Below are 19832 nucleotides of genomic sequence, written 5' to 3'. Positions count from 1 at the left end.
AAACAGTAGTTAAATGTTTTTGTTCGTCTGTATGCCTATTATAGAATATTAGCATTTTTGGGGTCCAGACACAAAGGGACACACAAACACATATATATACTTGCATGTATTTATATATACATGTATATAAGCACATATGTATACATATAATCATGTACTGCATTTCAATATATGATTAATATTTAAGTATTTAATATTCACTCTAGACAAATTATGTTTGCTCTTGGAGGGCATTAATATCTTTGTGAATGAGTGTTAACATATCCATTTAATGGTATCTTGTCTTCAAATATCTCATAATTTGATAGTTGAGTTATTTCTTCTGAAGTTGGAATAGCTTTTCTACAAGGGCCTACCAAAAAAAAAAAAAAAGAATAATAAAGTTGGAATAACAAAAGAGGGAGTTAATACATAAAGGAAAACCATTAAGGCCGAAAAACTAATCAGTTGTAAAAGCTAAATCAGTAGTATGGATTGATAAAGTAGCATTTTAGTGATAAATTTTTGGATTGAAGTTTCTCTTTTAAGTTTATCAATGTACCTTTTCAGAAAAATTCCTCGAGTTTATATCTTTATGTTAATGAAACTTGTCAATAACTTTAATTATCTATGATGATTGACAACTAATACTTAATTTCTATAACACACAATACTGTTCTGAGGGTACATATTCATCTCTCTCTTTCATCTTACGTTTTACCACTCTCAACTTTTTAAAACCGTTTTCTTTGCAAGCTACTTCATAGATTCTTGAGATTGAATAATCAAATCTGTTATTTAATATTCAGGCCAAATTTCTGAAAATGTTTATTTTTTTAAAAAAAATGATAAATGGAAAAGGGAATGTTAAACAACATTTCTTTGCAGTGTATTCCAGTGTCCCTAGATGGAATGAGGAATAAAAATATTTTTCAAGTTCATCATGCTGTCTTTTAAATCATAAAATGCATATATTTATTAGTAATTTTTCATTGAAAGTATCAAAGAAAATTGGAGAATTTCCTTACTGTTTCTACCTCACTATGTTTCGTATATTCTGACCAGCATTAATACCAATTTCATAGCACTCTACTGTTCGCTCTTTTTTGCTGTAAGCCCAACTGATTGCATTTTCTTACCTGTTATTTTTCGTTGTTGTTATTTAAGACATCTTTTCTTTCTAACTTCGGTCTTCATAGACCTTCTCAATTTCAGCTCATCACCAAAATTACACAGATAGAAGAATATAGGGACTTTGGTGTACACATACCCACTTTTGACTCCCTCTGATTTTCTAATTTAGTAGATTTTAATTGAGGCTGAGAACTGTATTTGGAAAAGTTCATTCTGATGATTATTCAGGTTTGTGAACCCCAGTCTAGATAGACCTTTATCAGCACATGTATAAGGTGCACTTTGCTAAGGTGCATTATGTGTCAGGTTCATTCCCACTGTGGACCAGTAATTTATTCTTGCCCAACCACTGCTCATGACAGATAGATGATCTCTGTATTCCAGAAATGAAGCTCCTTTCCAATTCCTCAACAACTAAACCAAGCAGAGGAAAAAGTGGTTTTCCTTCACAGCCATAGTTCCCTGCTGAAGTAGAATGAACGCTTTCTAGGAAACTGCAGCAGATTTTTGATGACACGGAAAGGGCATCACTAGGATCCTCATTATATATTACCTCTCTCCCTCACCCGAACCACAATGTTGACGGAACAGATACTTCCTGTGGGGAAGATGCTAAGCAGTCCTGCATGGCTGTAGGCATTGTCCACATCTTAATCTTCAGCTATATCTGAGGTATGACAAGTTTAACAATCCTACAAGTTAAAGCGTCACACCGGAAACCTGTTTATTCTTCTCCCATGCCAAATAATTCCAGCACGATGGGTTTCATCTATAGACGATGAGAAGATGCCATTGTGGGGTGAGGACATAGAGAAGAGAGGAAGTTTGGAACCAGTTTATTTCTATTTCAGCAAGCTTAATGTATTGTAAGAACATTTTGTGGCAGATGACCCTAGTCTGTAACAAGGAATCGATTGTAATGCATCATTCTGCCAGTGTTTATCTGTTCCCTATGCTCATATAAACACACGAGTCATCTTTCTGCACTCCCAACCTACTCCTAAAGCACTATACAGAATGTTTCGAAAGCAGAAGGAAAAGCAGCTGTTCCATACACCATGTTCCTGCTGTTCAAGGTGCACATCCCATCCAAATGAATCATATCAGAGCCAAAGATCCTGGTAGGAGTTCTTTTCTACAAAACTGCAGTCTTGTCTATCCTAACAACTTGGAGGACAAAATATTAGAAAACCTTGTAATAACCTTAGGACACAATAATGTAGATACTGACTGAGCTAGACCTGAGGACTTTTTCAATGTAGTGTGGATAAGTAAGATGACAGGAAGCCATAAGCATACTGTGCCTTGCACATCAACTTCTCCAGAGCCATGACAATCATCTGGAGTATTTGTGATAAATAAATATTGTTAATCTTCATGTAATTGGGTAGGATGAAAAAGGACCAGTCGTCCCAGACATCCCAGGAGAGAGGAGCATTTTTCCAGTTGCTCAGATACAATTTCAAGTTCGAACCAATATGAATTACAGTTGACCACAGAGGCCGGCAAAATCCATGGCACTGTAGTCCAAGAGAACCTGAACACTGGCCTTAGAGTATTATGAGCCTACATCACAGTAGAAGGAATCCAGCAGAGATCTCTAATGCACATCAGAAAAGCACCATTTCTAGTTATCAAGGCTGTATTTCACACTGCTTGACTGAAGATTGGAAACTATTTTATTCATAGGCAACCTGTGTGGCCATCCTTACCTGGTCTATAAAAGGAAGTGTGATGAATTTGCTTCCCATACATCATATTAAGTCCAGAAAGCCAGAGATGCTGTGTTGAGTTTCTTTCCTGAGAGTCTGAATTCCTAAGTAGAGGGACTAACGAGTTCCAAAGTTCTTTCACTCTGAGATCTTTGTCACACTACTGTACTGACTGGATATCACTGACCTTATTTAAGAGGACTATCAACTGGCTAGTTCATCTACATTGTAAGGACTAGTTTGCTCACAACCACCAACCTATCTGTAATTGGCCTCAGTATGCTCTCTCTCACTTGGGTACTTCTGTATTTGGCTAATTAACCTATACCACTTGGCTTAGAAGCACCAGCTACATTTTTTCTAATTTTGACTTCTCATCTTTTCCAACTTGATTTTATCCCCAGATTTGGACTTTTGTCTCATGTATAAACTTTATATTTTGCTTGAACATGTGGTCTCAATGCTGACCAAGTCATCCCTAGAATCTGATTCTGTCTCACTATTCCATATCAGGAGACAGCGACTTAAATATTTTAATTATTTCCTGTATCAATAAATTATTCACTGCCTAAAGTTTAGACTTTAATAATATGAACACATGTGCAGTCAAAGAGTACCTCGCCATTGGGCCGGAAAAATTTCACTGACTTAGGGTGGCTCCTGAAGGTACCTTGAGAAAGCTTGGATATGATGAATCCTGTAGACTTATTTTATGTTTACTGAATAATGCTTCATTCACTTTCTTTTTGAAGCTTAAATAAAGCATCAGTTTGCTCCTGTCAGGGCAGAAGACCAATTTCACTTGTCTACCCATGAGGATAAATGGATGCAGCAAGAATCCAGAAATGTCTTAGATATATTACTCTATAGCTCATTGACCATTCTATCAATGCTCAATGCTTTACTTGAAAGTGATGGCTATCTGATGTCAAGTTCCATTGATAAAATGATTCCCAAACGTTACTTTCAAGTATGCTTCCTTCAGAGGTCACAGAAGAACTTCAGTAACCTGCTAAAACCTAAAACAGGTGAAGTTCCTATTAACCATGACACCAAGAGTTTTCACATTTATATTCTTTCCTGGTAAAGAAAATTATAGGAGCTCCATGCTCACGGCTTTTGAGTTTTCTCCCAGGTGTGTTCAAACCTAGTGACATTAACAAAACATAAATCTAGAAGCCTTTCGTGAATAATGTAACCTTCTTTATTTTATATTTAAAGGATATATATGCAGACATGTACACATCTTTGTAATTATTTACCGCCTATATCCCTATTAAATACATTAACAAATATGCCACAGGAAAAACCACTGTACCAAAGCCCCTCACAAGAGTTATATTTAAAGTGGGTTAAAGCAACATGGTTTTAATTTACTTAGTCTTTCTTGTCCAAGGAACACAGTGTGAGACCTCCTTTCTTTAGGAAAAAATAGGATGAACTAATTTGAAAACAAAGAAAGCAACAAAGTGAATCTTGTGATGAGCTATGAGCATTGGTAAATTATTTCTTCTGTTGTAAATTATCCTCTTCTCCCTCTGCTTTTCTCTTAATCTCCATTTAATTCCCTTTTCAAAATCCTAACTCTATTCTTTTTGGAAAACATTTCATTAAGCTGGTATAAGCATATCTAGACATCTGGAAATTTTTGTATAACTTTTAAAGGATCTATTACTTAACACCATATGAAATTATGGAAAATAAAGTGTTCCTATCTAATCAATCTCAAAGATTTTTCAAGTGTACAATACAATGTGTGCTTCAAGTGTCAGCTTCTTTTTTTTTTTTTTTTTTTTTTTTTTGAGACAGAGTCTCACTCTGTCACCCAGACTGTAGTGCAATGGCACGATCTCAGCTCACTGCCAGCTCTACCTCCCGGGTTCACACCATTCTCCTGCCTCAGCCTCCTGCGTAGCTGGGACTACAGGCGCCTGCCACCATGCCAGGCTAATTTTTTGTATTTTTAGTAGAAACAGGGTTTCACCGTGTCAGCCAGGATGGTTTCGATCTCCTGAAGTGTCAACTTCTTTAAGGCTGTCATCTTGCCGGTTCTAAACAACTAAAAATTGTAAGAACCAATTTCTGAGACAAATAGAACATTCTTAGTGGTCCTTAAATAATTCCTGATACTTTTATGGCATGCTTCTTTAAAGACCTTAGAATTATGCTTCAGGAATTTAAATTGGTTGTTCAGCAAAGTTACCAATCAGTAGGCAAGTTGTTGCATTTGACAGGAGCAATAGTTTTCACGTGGATTATTTATATTCATGTATGTTGGTAGACGGATATAAAACATGCAACTTGCAGTTGCATGAGACAAAAGCATCAACATATCTATCTTAGCTTTTCAATCATGTGATACTACTATAATGCTCCATTTTTCACAGATATTTCTTAAGTTCTTTATCTCTTCAGACCTCCCGTAAACCATTTTCTGTCTTCTGCTGGACCACATTCTAGATGATCTGGATGTCTATCATTCTCCTTTGCCTTTGCTTTATTTGAGTAAGTGCTGAATTCGTGGACTGTGTTAGTAGTTTGATGCGTAGTTTCAGCCAGATAGATCAGAAACATGAAATGCTTTTACATCATCCAGGTAGATGGCGCCATGAATAGATCCCTTTGCTTTCTGGCCTCTGAGGTAATAAAGACTTAAATCTAATTGGGTTCAGCTTAAAATCTCAATGTCATATTTAATTTAATATGCTTCCTTGTTTCCAGCTCAAGCTTAAGCCATGGTCTAAAAGACTTTCTCTGGAAGGCAAGTGTGGTTAGATTCCATCTTACACCTCCACTGCCTCTTTTTCTTTTTTTTTTTTTTAACTGCACTTCAGTTATATTATTCTCCAATGTCTTGGGAAGTAGGAGTTAAGGAAAATAGGCAAATGTCTCCTGTTAACTAGCTATTTGTAGCTTTGAGTTTATGATTTGTGTGTGTGTGTGTGTGTGTGTAACAGAGATACAAAGTTCGGGTTTATTTGGGGTACAAGTATGGGATCTTTAAGAAGTCTTGCAGAAGCTCTTTTGTTTTCCCCATCTTTAAGAAGGAAAATATGCTCTATAAAAACATCTTCAAGCCTCTTGATCCTGAGGTACTCTTGCTCCATAAAGAGTGTTCCTGGTAGATAGCTCAAACATGGCTGTCTTCTTCCACGTTCACTTGACCTATTGAGAAACGTTTGCCACACCAAGCACTGGGGAGTACAGGCTGCCCCCCTTCTTCACTGTATCATTTCTCATTCATTTTTTACCTATCAAGTAGGCATATAATTTCTGAAGCAGACATCTTCAGAAGCAGAGTTGGTAATTAGGTGTCATCCCTATCTACTCTGGACTCCCAGACCCTGTGATCAGTGGTCTTGGAGCTCCACTTACTTGCATGGGACAAAAAGGTTGAAGTACCATCTTCTTTTCCCCCTTACGGAATAAACAGAGGGAGCCATCCCTACTCTCCCTCTGGGCCATGAATTCAGAAGACCGATTCTTTCTAAAACCTTCAGAGAGTTTTAGTATAAGTGGGTATGGTGGAGCAACAAAGGCAGGGCCAGTTTTCCCAGCTCTTTTGTAAGCCCTTTGCTATGCCCTGCTATTTCCATCTCTTAGAATGAGAGAGACTTATTACTTGTTATTTTCAGTTTAAGACTATACCCAAAATTCTAAGACAACAGATAGAATTCAATGCATTCATATCCATAGTGACAGTTTCACACTTGCTCTTAAGTTAAATAGAAGAGTTAGGTCAGGAGGAAATAGTTTATCAAAAATGATATACACCCACCAGTATTCTTAGTACTTGGCACTTGAACAAATTGCAACCTGTTAGTAGGTAAAAAAGAAACACTAAAAGGAAATAGTTGGACCACTGAACTATTGCTTGATCCACTGAAGCAAGTGTTGCTTGGTCCACTGAAGTTGAGACTCTGGGAAAGAAAACTTGACTGGTAAACTCTGTGAAGTGAAGCGTGGTTGTCAAATGGAGATTAATGTCCTCTCATGGGTCTCCACTGTAGTTTCTGAAGGGCAGGTTGAGTAGGATTTGGTTTTAGCACATCTCTTGCAGGACTCCTATCCCAAGACACTTTCTATAAAATAAAACATATTCCATATTGCTCTACTTTCTGCAAGGTACGGACAGTCAGGTTGGGGCCAATTAATGCACTACCCTAAGCAGAAACTTCAAGACTTTGTCGTTGCTTTGCTTTATTTGAATTGGAATTTGGGATTTAGTTTTCGTTAGTTCATTTACTACTAAAATCACTCATAAAAATGAGGGCTTTATTTTGACATTGGCAAAAATCCTTCTTTACTCAGAAGAAAATATTTAAAACTGCTGGAAATTGAAATGTTTTACATGTCTACATCACAATGATGAATACAATGATGAGTATTTAAACACCAAAAATAAAAGTGTCTTATTACGAGATGATTGTAAACAGTGCACCCACATTCTTAATCCATTTGCAAGCATAAGCTTACCCATCACCTCATAAATGCAGTAAAATTGCTTTTTGTATTGAGTTTAATAAGTATAGTATAGGATACCTAGCTCCTTTAATGAATGTGTTTTTTGTAAAATATTATTAAATGATTTTTTTTCTAATTTGGCTTTTTAAAGCATGCATTCATATGTTAAATACATTTTTTGGTTTCAATATTCGGTTTTTTATTTCACATGCAGAGTTTTCTCTTCCAGAGTTTCTTAGACATGCTACACTTTGATTTATGTGTTTGTAATATTGTGGTACAAAGGTTAGTACATTATTTTTAAAATGGAAATGTGAGAAACTGTCAATTCATTGTAGAGATGACTTTACATTGCCAGCAAAACTCATTAAACTCTTAAAACTTTTTCTTAAACTTATTTTATATTTCCATAGTACTTTAAAGATATAAAATAATTAATTTGTGTTAACTTTTACTTAGTTTTAATTTTCATTGAAAACTGGGTTAAAATATATTATGTGTTTTTCTTGGTAACCATTACTAGGATTGTTTTCTATTTTTATATTTTTGTCATTGATCGCCAGTTATTAAAAGATGTCTTTCTAACTTTCCTTATATTTGCTGTTTCTGTCTAGCTATATAATTCCTCTTACTGCTAAGTGGATTAGCTAAAGACATGAAATAACATTTTAAAACAACAGCGGAACAGTATTCTGGAACAACAACAAAAAATCAGATTATGGTTGAAGACTTTCTACAAACTTCATTCAATGAGACAGCACAGGTCAAGCGGGCAGAAAGTCAGAAAATTCATAAGCCTGACATTCCATCAGGGTGCGCCTAATCAGATGTTTAGAAATAGAAGGCAGCTTATGCCATGACTAGTTGAAAGAATTCTGCAAGCTTGCATTGACATGAGGTCTTTTCAATGACTGAGATAATCAAGGAATCTGTGTAAATCAGCCTCTCTTATTGACTGTCAGGCCAGGAAAAGAGCCAACCCACCCGAAGTCAACTCTGCCATCATTTCTTAAGCCACACTGTTCCTTTCAGCTCATAGAATCTCATGAATAGAAAAAGTTAGGTTTCTAAAAAGAATTTTGAGGCTAGATATGTGGTTTAATGTTATTCTATATTACATCCTATACAATTAAAATCTACAGATGTGCCTTGTAGAGTACACTGTTTTTGCCTTTAGCCAGAGGAAGGACCAAATTTAATACCTGGCTAGGCAATTATTACACGCTGTGATTGGAAGTTTTCTCCAACCACCTGTCACAATGCTGAAATTTTATCACTAGAGATCCATTTCTTTGGAAGAGCTGTGGGTAGGCTGCAGCCAGTCTCCTCTGCAATAGAGGCTCTGATTATAGCCCTGAACACTGTTATCTGAAATAGTAAATTACCTGATGTAAATTTTAGTTGAAATTTTGACTGAGAACAAAAGGAAGCTATGTTTGAATTGGAATATAGGGCAAAGCCTCGGTCACCAATCTTGGATACAGAATTTTAATAGAAAGAGATTAAAATTTTCTCCAAATAATGTCCCACCCCCATTCTGACACTTTTAATACAAAAACAGATAGATTTATTGTCCAAAAGATACATCTCTGAGCAGTGGTGACCTTTGTTTACAATTTCTTCTGTAAATCCATTTTCGTCTTTGACTATTTAAAGTTTTCTGTTTTTCTCATTAAAATTTCTCCTTATACTTTTCACCCAGTCATAAATAAAGCTATTGGGCTTCATTCTAGGAACTGGTATTGAGCAATGAACAGGACAGCCGTAATCCTTGAACTCATTAGAGTTGATAGTCTAAAGTAAATGCAGACCATTAATGGGAGATTAAATATGTTATGGCACATACAAAGTGCAAGAAAGAACATAATGTCATGTGAGGGAATGCATAAATAGCTTAATTTAGCCATCCCGTAACATATTCATATATTAAAACATCATGTTACGTGCTCTAACTTGATAGAATTTTTACTTGTCAAATCAAAAAAATACAAAATTCAAAGAACATGCAAGAATTACCTCCCTGAACTTAGAAGGTGCCAGAGGTAGCCACTTGGAAGAGATGTCCACTACATTAAGAAGATAAATGTAAATTAGCCAATAAAAGGAAGTCAGAATTGAGATTATGCCAGTAAAAGGGAACAACATGTTTAAGGCCAAGAATCAAGAGGGCCACAGTGTAGGTTGGGAAATAAAAAATAAAATTTCTGTATAGCTAGAGCAGGGAGTAAAAGACACCAGCAGGACTTATATTATGAAGGGACTTTTAAGCCACATTAAGGATAAAGCTTTTGGCTGCGCGCAATGTCTCACGCCTATAATCCCAGCACTTAGGGAGGCCGAGGTGGGTGGATCATCTTAGGTCAGGAGTTTGAGACCAGCCTGGGCAAATTGGTGAAACCCTGTCTCTACTAAAAATACAAAAATTCGCCAGGCATGGTGGCAGGTACCTGTAATCCCAGCTACTTGAGAGGCTGAGGCAGGAGAATCACTTGAACCAGGGAGGCAGAGGTTGCAGTGAGCAGAGATTGTGCCACTGCACTCCAGTCTGGGTGACAGAGAGAGACTCCGCCTCCATCTCAAAAAAAAAAAAAAAAAAAAAAGAATAGAGCTTTTATTTGAAGGACAGTAAAGAATCACTAGAGAATTTTAGACAGGAAGCCCCAATTCGTTATTGAGAGAACACATTGCAGCTGCTTTACAGGTGGGATGTGGCAGAGTAAAATGCCAGTGAAGAAACTGATAGCATATTTGAGGTAAGATATAGTAATGATTTTAACTAGAGTAAAGACAATGGAGAGAGAGAGAAAAGATTGGAATCAAGAACTATTTAGAAGGTATAATAAATAATTAGTGATTGACTGATTAGATGCAACATGATGAAGGACATGATAGAGGAAGTAGAAATATCTAGAATTACATCTAATAAAGGGAATCATTATTTGTTTTTCGCTGAAACCGGAAAAAATACAGAGAAGGAGGAAAAGCAAGTTGGGGAGTTGAGAAGTAGGTGAGAAGAGTATATGCAAGGAGTTCATGTGTGGGAGTGTTAGCTTTTGGTGGTTGCAGAATATTCATGAGGAGATGTCCAATAGGGTGAGATAACATGCAAGTATGGAGATCAAGGGGAGATCTGGACTTGAGAGATGTAGAGTTGAGAGTTGTCAGAATGTGAGGAGGAATTGAAGTTAAGGTATGGGTAGAATGAGAAGAAAGGAAAGCCCAGGATAAAATCTTAATGGAGTCAAAATTTATGGTACAGGGAGAAGTACTGGGAAAGCCTTCCCTCTTCCTGCAGCATCACTAAACTTCCTGTTCTTTTGCCTTAGTCTAGATGCCTTTAACTGTAGTTTTACTTGGGCAAAGCTGTGTTATAGGCTGGCTTCACTGAAGAATAATGACATCACTAATATTTTTAAAGCTTAAAAAGTATAGTATTTATGTAATATCTAATATTCTATATATAATATAAAAACCAAGATCATCTTAAAACCTCAGTCATGCTCTGTGGGAAAGAAAGTTATATTGTACCTGATAATCATGCCTTTACATTGTATATTAAGGAAATGTATTTTAAATGACACATAATGAATTCCCAATAAGTTGCCTGCCCTATTTCTTACTTTTACAACTACTCTGTTAAAAGTGAACAGATCCTTGAAGGGAGACTTTCCAATCTGTGCAGCATGGTATTTATACTTGAACATTATTGAATTATCCTAATCATACTTATAGTTACAATCAAGATTAATTGCAGCTATATTAGGATTACTTATTATTTTTTCTACTTCAGCAGTAACATAAACCCAATTGTACAAACAATTTCTGTAATCCAAATTGTGAAAGAAAGTAGGGAGAAAAAAGATCATGCAAAGCTGGTTGAAATAGTATTCAAAATAAATCTTTAACCAGACTGTTATCTAAAATTCTGTTTTTGACAAGGAGCTGATTCTGAACAGATTGTACATGTATCTCACTGGTGGAAGCAGATTATCTGTCTTGAATTGGATTGTGATGACGATGACCCTATTCTAAGCAAACCAAATCTCTTGAACTATATAATGAGATCAGGAGGAACATTCGACCTGAGAAAGACAGATTGCAATGACTGAGATGATTTTGCTAATTTTTTTTCCAGCCTATTTCCTTAATGTACGTGATATTGTGATTGATTTTCATGCAGAGATCCCTGATCCTATAGTTTTGTTTGCTATTTATTTTTCTCCTTCACATTTTTTTTCTATCAACAGAGCTGAATGAGTGCCAGGAAGCTGCGAAATCTGTCTTACAAAAAGGTGATTGTGGAAGAGTCTAGAATCTTCATTTATTGTTCAGCAGGATTACAGAAAAGCTATCAAGAGTAAACATTTAACTGATACACTCTTATTCCTTCTTTTTAGGCTGTAAGGAGGCAAAAGTTGCTTGAACAGAGCATCCAGTCTGCCCAGGAGACTGAAAAATCCTTACACTTAATCCAGGAGTCCCTCACATTCATTGACAAGCAGTTGGCAGCTTATATTGCAGACAAGGTGGACGCAGCTCAAATGCCTCAGGAAGCCCAGGCAAGTACATCTGGGAATCAGCTTCCATTCTTTTGTTTTTATTACTTCAACAAAATGTTGCAGTGTTTCTAACTTTAAATTTATTCAACTAGTTTTCCATGGGGTTGTTTTGATTCACTGATTTGACTATTTGGAGGTAGGTAGGAAGAAAAGGGGGTCTAGATCATTAGTCTAAGATTTATTTTTTTAAGGATGTAATGGAGGAATTTGAAATAAAGACATTTCAAAGACAGGAGCAATACGTTCTGGTGTTTCTGACTTCAAACTATACTAAAAGCTAGAGTAAAACCATAGGATAGTAAATGGTAAAGAAAATGTTTTTTGGCCGGGTGTGGTGGCTCACACCTGTAATCCCAGCCCTTTGGGATGCTGAGGCCCACGAATCACAATGTCAGGAGTTCAAGACCAGCCTGGCCAACATGGTGAAACCCTGTCTCTACTAAAAATACAAAAATTAGCCAGGTTTGTTGGCACGCGCCTGTAATCCCAGCTACTCGGGAGGCTGAGGCAGGAGAATCACTTGAACACGGGAGGCGGAGGTTGCAGTGAGCCGAGATTGCACCACTGTACTCCAGCCTGGAACAGAGCGAGACTCTATCTTATAAAAAGAAAAAAAGAAAATATTTTCTATGGCATTGTTGGAAAGCAGTCTCAAACATTTTATTATAAACTCCTCGTTTAGTCACATGGTCTATATTGTTTTATAAAAATGTGTTAGTTACAAGCAGTGAGTAACACAAAATTATCGATATAAATTTACACCTCAATTATTAATGATCATGCTCAATATAGCTACATGCACTCACTCCCATGCTTCATTCAAACGAAAATATAAAACGTGTTTACCTGTTTTTCTAGAATGAGAATTAAAATAGTGTTGAAAATAAATCTGAGTTGACTTTTAAATGAGTAAATTTTAGGCCATAACTAAATTTACATTCACTGTAAGAAGTATTTTTAAAATGCTGTTCTCATTTTTTAATTAACATTTAAACATATGTGAAGTTATCATAGGTATTATTTATTCAAAAGTCTTTAGGGTTGTGTGATCGCAATTACTAGATCTGCTTTTCAAATCTTATATACATGTTGTGAACCCAATCACCAAGTCCATGCTATGATGAGAGGAGCACTAGAAGGTTAGCTGCAAATCTCAAAGCCTTCTCCCTGCCAGTTGGTGAAGATGTCTGAAGTTTTTCACTTTAAAATGAATTTGGGGGTGATATATTAGATTTGTAGATCATGGTTACAATGCAATTACAGTTAATGAATCACCGTTAATAGGTGTTCTGGGCAACAGTATACACAATAGCATGAGTTAATTTACCATATTGTCTAACTTTGACCAAGAATGTCCCTGATAATATGTGGCAGAGTATAGGTAGTTTTGATAGGCTTAAAAAGTCCAGGGAATATTATTTCCTTATGGAGTGCATACAATTGCAATAGTGGATGAAGAAAGAGAATTTTGGGGAGAATCCTGATGATAAAATCCTCATCATAGTTTTCCACTGGGCAACAAGAGTAAATATTGTAGTAGAAGTGAGGGATAATAGTAAACATACTTGAGGATTCAATTTTTAATTTGTCTTGATATATAATGATTGTACATATTTTAGAGGGTAAGTGTGATAGGTTTATACAAACCTACTCCAGTATATATATTTTTCAAACTTACACAAGCCAGGTTCTCTAGAATTAACTATTCCTAAGTCCGTCCCAGTTTGAGTCATAATGAAAAAGGTTTTTTGATATAAAATATTTATACATATTTATGGATACAACATTTATGTAATATTTTCTTACATGTATAGAAAGTGTAATGATCAAGTCAGGGTATTTAGTGTGTCTACCACGGCAGGGTTTAGTAAAATGCATGATAGGAATGAGTAATTGTTTCTGAATTGAGAAGAACTACATGACTATAAATGAAATACAGAGTAGAACTGCTTTCATTTAAACTAATGACATGAGTTTTGAAGGAATGTTTGATTAAAAATGCTTGTGACGTTCTGAATGGAATTAAGGAAAAATTTGAGCAGTATGAATACTAGACATTAATATTGCAAGTTTGTACTTCAAAATGCATAAAGAATTACTTTGTGACAGACTTGCGGAATGAAATTATGAGTAGCAAATTTGATAGGCAAAGCTATTATACTATTGTCTTTCAAGGAAAATTGGAGCTTTTAGGGCGAAGCATCTTTAGTTGAACAGGTTGTGATAAGGGGCACTGTGTGTTTTTTCTTATTTAGAAATGGATTCAGGATTTTATAAACATTACTTGTTTTTAATAGCAAAATATTTTGCTTGGTTTTTCTAAAAAAATACTACAATAAAAATGTTATTAACTACATCAGTAGAAAAGTACTAGTAAACAGCAGAACACAGATAAATTATGAAATTTCAGATCTACTTCAAGAAAGAGATTTTGGGCATTCAGATCAAATCTATTTTCCATGCATTTCAGGTCACACCTGCATTATCAACATAGTTCTTGACATTGAGTCTCCCCAATGGTAATACATAATATTGGAGAATACAAGCCATCTGAAAGCTCTTAAAACATTCTTCTGCTCCAGGGTTTTATTTTAATATGGCAGTAAGTGAATTGTTTTCTAGAACAGAGTTCTCAGGTACTCAGATTTGCTTCAAGGATTATATTTCCTGAAAAGCAGCTCGAAATTCCCATGAAATAAAATAGAGAGTCAAAAGTTAGATAGTGAAATAACATAAGCACAGTGTGTAAGATGAAGGATCCACTAAGAATGCCACCAAAATGACATTTTAAATATAGAGATGGGGTGGATAGATGGATGGATGTATGGATTGATGGATGGATAGATAGATAGATAGATAGATAGATAGATAGATAGATAGATAGATGAAAGAAAGAAAAGAAAGGAATAGAATAGGGACTAACTTCAATGCATTGTATTAACAAAAATGTGTTTCTATAAATTTGCACTTAAAGATAAAAAGGTTATTGCTAATTAAAATATTAGTGCACTATAATTTCTTTTCTCATAAATGGTATATTTAGCTTAATTCATCACGGAGAAGCAGGAAAAAATGTATGAAGTTACCATATTAAGTCCTCTTTGAAATACCTGCTCAGATTTTCTGTCATATACTGGTCACGCAGATTTGTGGGTGTCTGACTCCACCGTGTGGTGCACTGAGAGTTTTGCTAGTTAATTTGAATCTTTTAGAGCATTATTTTTTCTGCATTTTAAGATCGTTTGAGATCCTCAGATATAAAAGCTATGGCACTAAGGAAATGCATACTGTATGTACAACTTTCTGACAACCATACTCTTGTTATATATAAAAGTAGATGTAGATCAGGATGCTTCTTTACATTCACATTGGCATTTATTACTATAGGAAAGAAAAGAGCTGCTCACTTCCTTAGTGTGTTAATTGATCAGTTATTTCTCTGGGCCCTCAGATTCTGAATTGGATTTAAAATTATGTTACTTATTTTAGTGACATGAGCTTACCTACAGAAGCAAAGCTTACACTTTTAGAAAATAAAGCTGCATGCTGCCAGGATGTAACAGCATGTGTTGACCTAGGAGTATTTTATTTCAAAAGATAACACTTAGCCAATTCACAGTCTTTTTTTTTAATACTTTAAGTTTTAGGGTACATGTGCACAACGTGCAGGTTAGTTGCATATGTATACATGTGCCATGTTGGTGTGCTACACCCATTAACTCGTCATTTAACATTAGGTATATCTCCTAATGCTATCCCTCCCCCCTCCCCCCACCCCACAACATTCCCTGGTGTGTGATGTTCCCCTTCCTGTGTCCATGTGTTCTCATTGTTCAATTCCCACCTATGAGTGAGAACATGCGGTGTTTGGTTTTTTGTCCTTGCGATAGTTTGCTGAGAATGATGGTTTCCAGCTTCATCCATGTCCCTACAAAGGACATGAACTCATCCTTTTTTATGGCTGCATAGTATTCCAAGGTGTATATGTGCCACATTTTCTAAATCCATTGTATCATTGTGAGACATTTGGGTTGGTTCCAAGTCTTTGCTATTGAGAATAGTGCCGCAATAAACATACGTGTGCATGTGTCTTTATAGCAGCATGATTTATAATCCTTTGGGTATATACCCAGTAACGGGATGGCTGGGTCAAATGGTATTTCTAGTTCTAGATCCCTGAGGAATCGCCACAGTGACTTCCACAATGGTTGAACTAGTTTACAGTCCCACCAACAGTGTAAAAGTGTTCCTATTTCTCCACATCCTCTCCAGCACCTGTTGTTTCCTGACTTTTTAATGATCGCCATTCTAACTGGTGTGAGATGGTATCTCGTTGTTTTGATTTGCATTTCTCTGATGGCCAGTGATGATGAGCATTTTTTTATGTGTCTTTTGGCTGCATAAATGTCTTCTTTTGAGAAGTGTCTGTTCATATCCTTCACCCACTTGTTGATGGGGTTGTTTGCTTTTTTCTTGTACATTTGTTTGAGTTCATTGTAGATTCTGGATATTAGCCCTTTGTCAGAGGAGTAGGTTGCGAAAATCTTCTCCCATTCTGTAGGTTGCCTGTTCACTCTGATGGTAGTTTCTTTTGCTGTGCAGAAGCTCTTTAGTTTAATTAGATCCCATTTGTCAATTTTGGCTTTTGTTGCCATTGCTTTTGTTGTTTTCGTCATGAAGTCCTTGCCCGTGCCTATGTCCTGAATGGTAATGCCTAGGTTTTCTTCTAGGGTTTTTATGGTTTTAAGTCTAACATGTAAGTCTTTAATCCATCTTGAGTTAATTTTTGTATAAGGTGTAAGGAAGGGATCCAGTTTCAGCTTTCTACATATGGCTAGCCAGTTTTCCCAGCACCATTTATTAAATAGGGAATCGTTTCCCCATTTCTTGTTTTTGTGAGGTTTGTCAAAGATCAGATAGTTGTAGATATGTGGCATTATTTATGAGGGCTTTGTTCTGTTCCATTGATCTATATCTCTGTTTTGGTACCAGTACCATGCTGTTTTGGTTACTGTAGCCTTGTAATATACAGAAAAAGAGAATTTTAGACCAATATCCCTGATGAACATCGATGCAAAAATCCTCAATAAAATACTGGCAAACCGAATCCAGCAGCACATCAAAAAGCTTATGCACCATGACCAAGTGGGCTTCATCCCTGGGATGCAAGGCTGGTTCAATATATGCAAATCAATAAACGTAATCCAGCATATAAACAGAACCAATCACAAATACCACATGATTATCTCAATAGATCCAGAAAAGGCCTTTGACAATATTCAACTACCCCTCATGCTAAAAATTCTCAATAAATTAGGTATTGATGGGACAAATCTCAAAATAATAAGAGCTATCTATGATGAACCCACAGCCAATATCATACTGAATGGGCAAAAACTGGAAGCATTCCCTTTGAAAACTGGCACAAGACAGGGGTGCCCTCTCTCACTGCTCCTATTCAACATACTGTTGGAAGTTCTGGCCAGGGCAATTAGGCAGGAGAAGGAAATAAAGGGTATTCAATCAGGAAAAGAGGAAGTCAAATTGTTCCTGTTTGCAGATGACATGATTGTATATCTAGAAAACCCCATTGTCTCAGCCCAAAATCTCCTTAAGCTGATAAGCAACTTCAGCAAAGTCTCAGCATGCAAAATCAATGTGCAAAAATCACAAGCATTCTTATACACCAATAACAGACAAACAGAGAGCCAAATCATGAGTGAACTCCCATTCGCAATTGCTTCAAAGAGAATAAAATACCTAGGAATCCAACTTACAAGGGATGTGAAGGACCTCTTCAAGGAGAACTACAAACCACTGCTCAATGAAATAAAAGAGGATACAAACAAATGGAAGAACATTCCATGCTCATGGGTAGGAAGTGTCAATATCGTGAAAATGGCCATACTGCCCAAGGTAATTTATAGATTCAATGCCATCCCCATCAAGCTACCAATGCCTTTCTTCAGAGAATTGGAAAAAACTACTTTAAAGTTCATATGGAACCATAAAGGAGCCTGCATCGCCAAGTCAATCCTAAGCCAAAAGAATAAAGCTGGAGTCATCATGCTACCTGACTTCAAAGTATACTACAAGGCTACAGTAACCAAAACAGCATGGTACTGGTACCACAGTCTTAAATTAAATTATATGGCCACAGCATCAATCTACCCAGTGTCAGCTCATTTAATGAGAGATTTTATTAAAGTACAAAATTAAGAAAAGATTTATTGAAACAGAATAAAGCAAATGGGGAAAACTCTTCTAGATATGGAAATATATCTTAGAAAACAGAAACTAGGATTATTTCCAAAGTACTATGATTAAAAATGTAACAACCTATGCGTGTTCCTTGGAAATAAATAAAAAATTAAATCACGAAATTGTGTGACTGCAAAGAAACACATGGAACAAATTTAGTCATTTACTGTTCAATTTTTCAGAACTATATATTGAAGCACAGAGTTTAGTTTTGGCACCTAAAATCCTATAGCAACAGTCTAAGTAACCATGCTGAGCCCCGGAGCAATCAAATCAAATCTTTAGGTGGATTTGGTCTTCAGAATTTTTGGAAACTTTTTTATTCATTCTAATGTGTAGCTAATTGGAGAATGGCTTTGGATGGTTCCCTACTAGTAATGACTAAATTGTTCCAGAGTATTTTTCATACGACATTTTCTATCACTCTTCTATAAAGATTCTCTTCTATGACTGTGTCAACGTTTCAATGGGAGGGAGTCAGAGTGGCAATCAAACTACTGGTGAGATTCTCTCCTATTTTGATTTTTTCCTCTAATGGAAAATGGGTGATGGAAGAAAATATAGCTGAGAGCTATCGCACAAATTTTAATTTAGACAAAAAGAATGTTCAATATAGATGTTTGAGGCTGAACTCTGCTTGGCTTTCTTCAATTCATTTTTTTCTAACCCCATTTGTTAACATGTCAATTAACTTGCATATGGCTCTTAATCATTTTAGGGGACAGTGACAACTATGTTTAAATAGCTACTTAAATGTCTTGCAATTTTTAAAATTACAAAGATACTTTCACATACATGATTTTTTTCCTTTTCTACTAATTTTAGTTTTGAATCTTTGATATGTAAGAACAACCCAACATGGGCACCTGTTGAAAGTCACCATGTCCTTATGTGTTGATGCACATTTTGTAGGGGAAAACATGGCCCTGTTGCTTAAATTACTGCAAGCAAGAGCGGAGTTGCTTAGCAGTGGCTCCAGTAGCTTTACTGTTCTATTTGTTTTTTCCCAAAGAATTCTGATCTCATTTTTTTGTAACCTCGTGTCCCACATAGTAGATTTATGAGCAGGAATAGAGGAAGGAAACAAATTACCTTCAAAGAAGAGTGCCTCATAATTAAATATTGAAAAATACTGCCGTGGTTTGCTCACCAAGCTAGGACGTCAGGTGTTCCAGAGTCCACTACAGACCAGACTTCCTCCTTCTCTTTTTCCCTCCCATTAACAATGTGAGTACAATTTAGAAAAGAGGGGATTTTTAAAGCAAAGAAAGCTATTAATTTAAACTAATTACGTTAAATGCACTTTAAGAAGAATTCGTAATTGCAATCTTCCCGTGTTTATCAAAGAAGCTAAATCTTATAACTCACATTAAATATAATCGGTCATCTTTAAATGTTAACATTCCAAGCTATCAAAATCAATGGCTTAAAAATAAAGATATAACTGCAGATTTTGGTCTATCAGATTGAGCTTTTGATTTCATTAAGGAATAAAACAGACTCTTATAGTGTAAATAGGCATATTTGATTGCCAAACGACTTGGAACAGTGTAACTTTACAGTCTGCTTTATTGATTTATGAGTTAGACAGCAGAAACCTGCAAAGGGGAATTTATGTGGTAATTGGATAATTTAGTCAAAGAAGAAAAAAATGGAGAACTAACCCAGAGATTTGGGTTCAAATATTAAAACCTATCTAGCCATAGATGTAGACTTTTTATTT

General features: G+C 35.9%; 1 protein-coding gene across 19 annotated transcripts in view; it reads left to right on the top strand.

Moving 5' to 3' along the window:
* The window catches only part of DMD (dystrophin), a 2220167-nt gene that overhangs the window by 915789 nt on the left and 1284546 nt on the right, over window positions 1-19832 (top strand). For 17 of the 19 annotated variants that reach the window (XM_006724469.4, NM_000109.4, XM_011545467.2 and 14 more), the window contains 1 exon segment: window positions 11687-11848. In XM_006724469.4, coding sequence (XP_006724532.1) covers window positions 11687-11848 — 162 coding nt within the window. 19 annotated transcript variants of the gene reach the window in all.

The sequence above is a fragment of the Homo sapiens genome, chromosome X (assembly GCF_000001405.40).
Source record: "Homo sapiens chromosome X, GRCh38.p14 Primary Assembly".
In the NCBI taxonomy this organism is placed as follows: domain Eukaryota; kingdom Metazoa; phylum Chordata; class Mammalia; order Primates; family Hominidae; genus Homo; species Homo sapiens.
The sequence above is the reverse complement of the archived record's forward strand: the minus strand, read 5'-3'. Positions and strand labels throughout refer to the sequence as shown.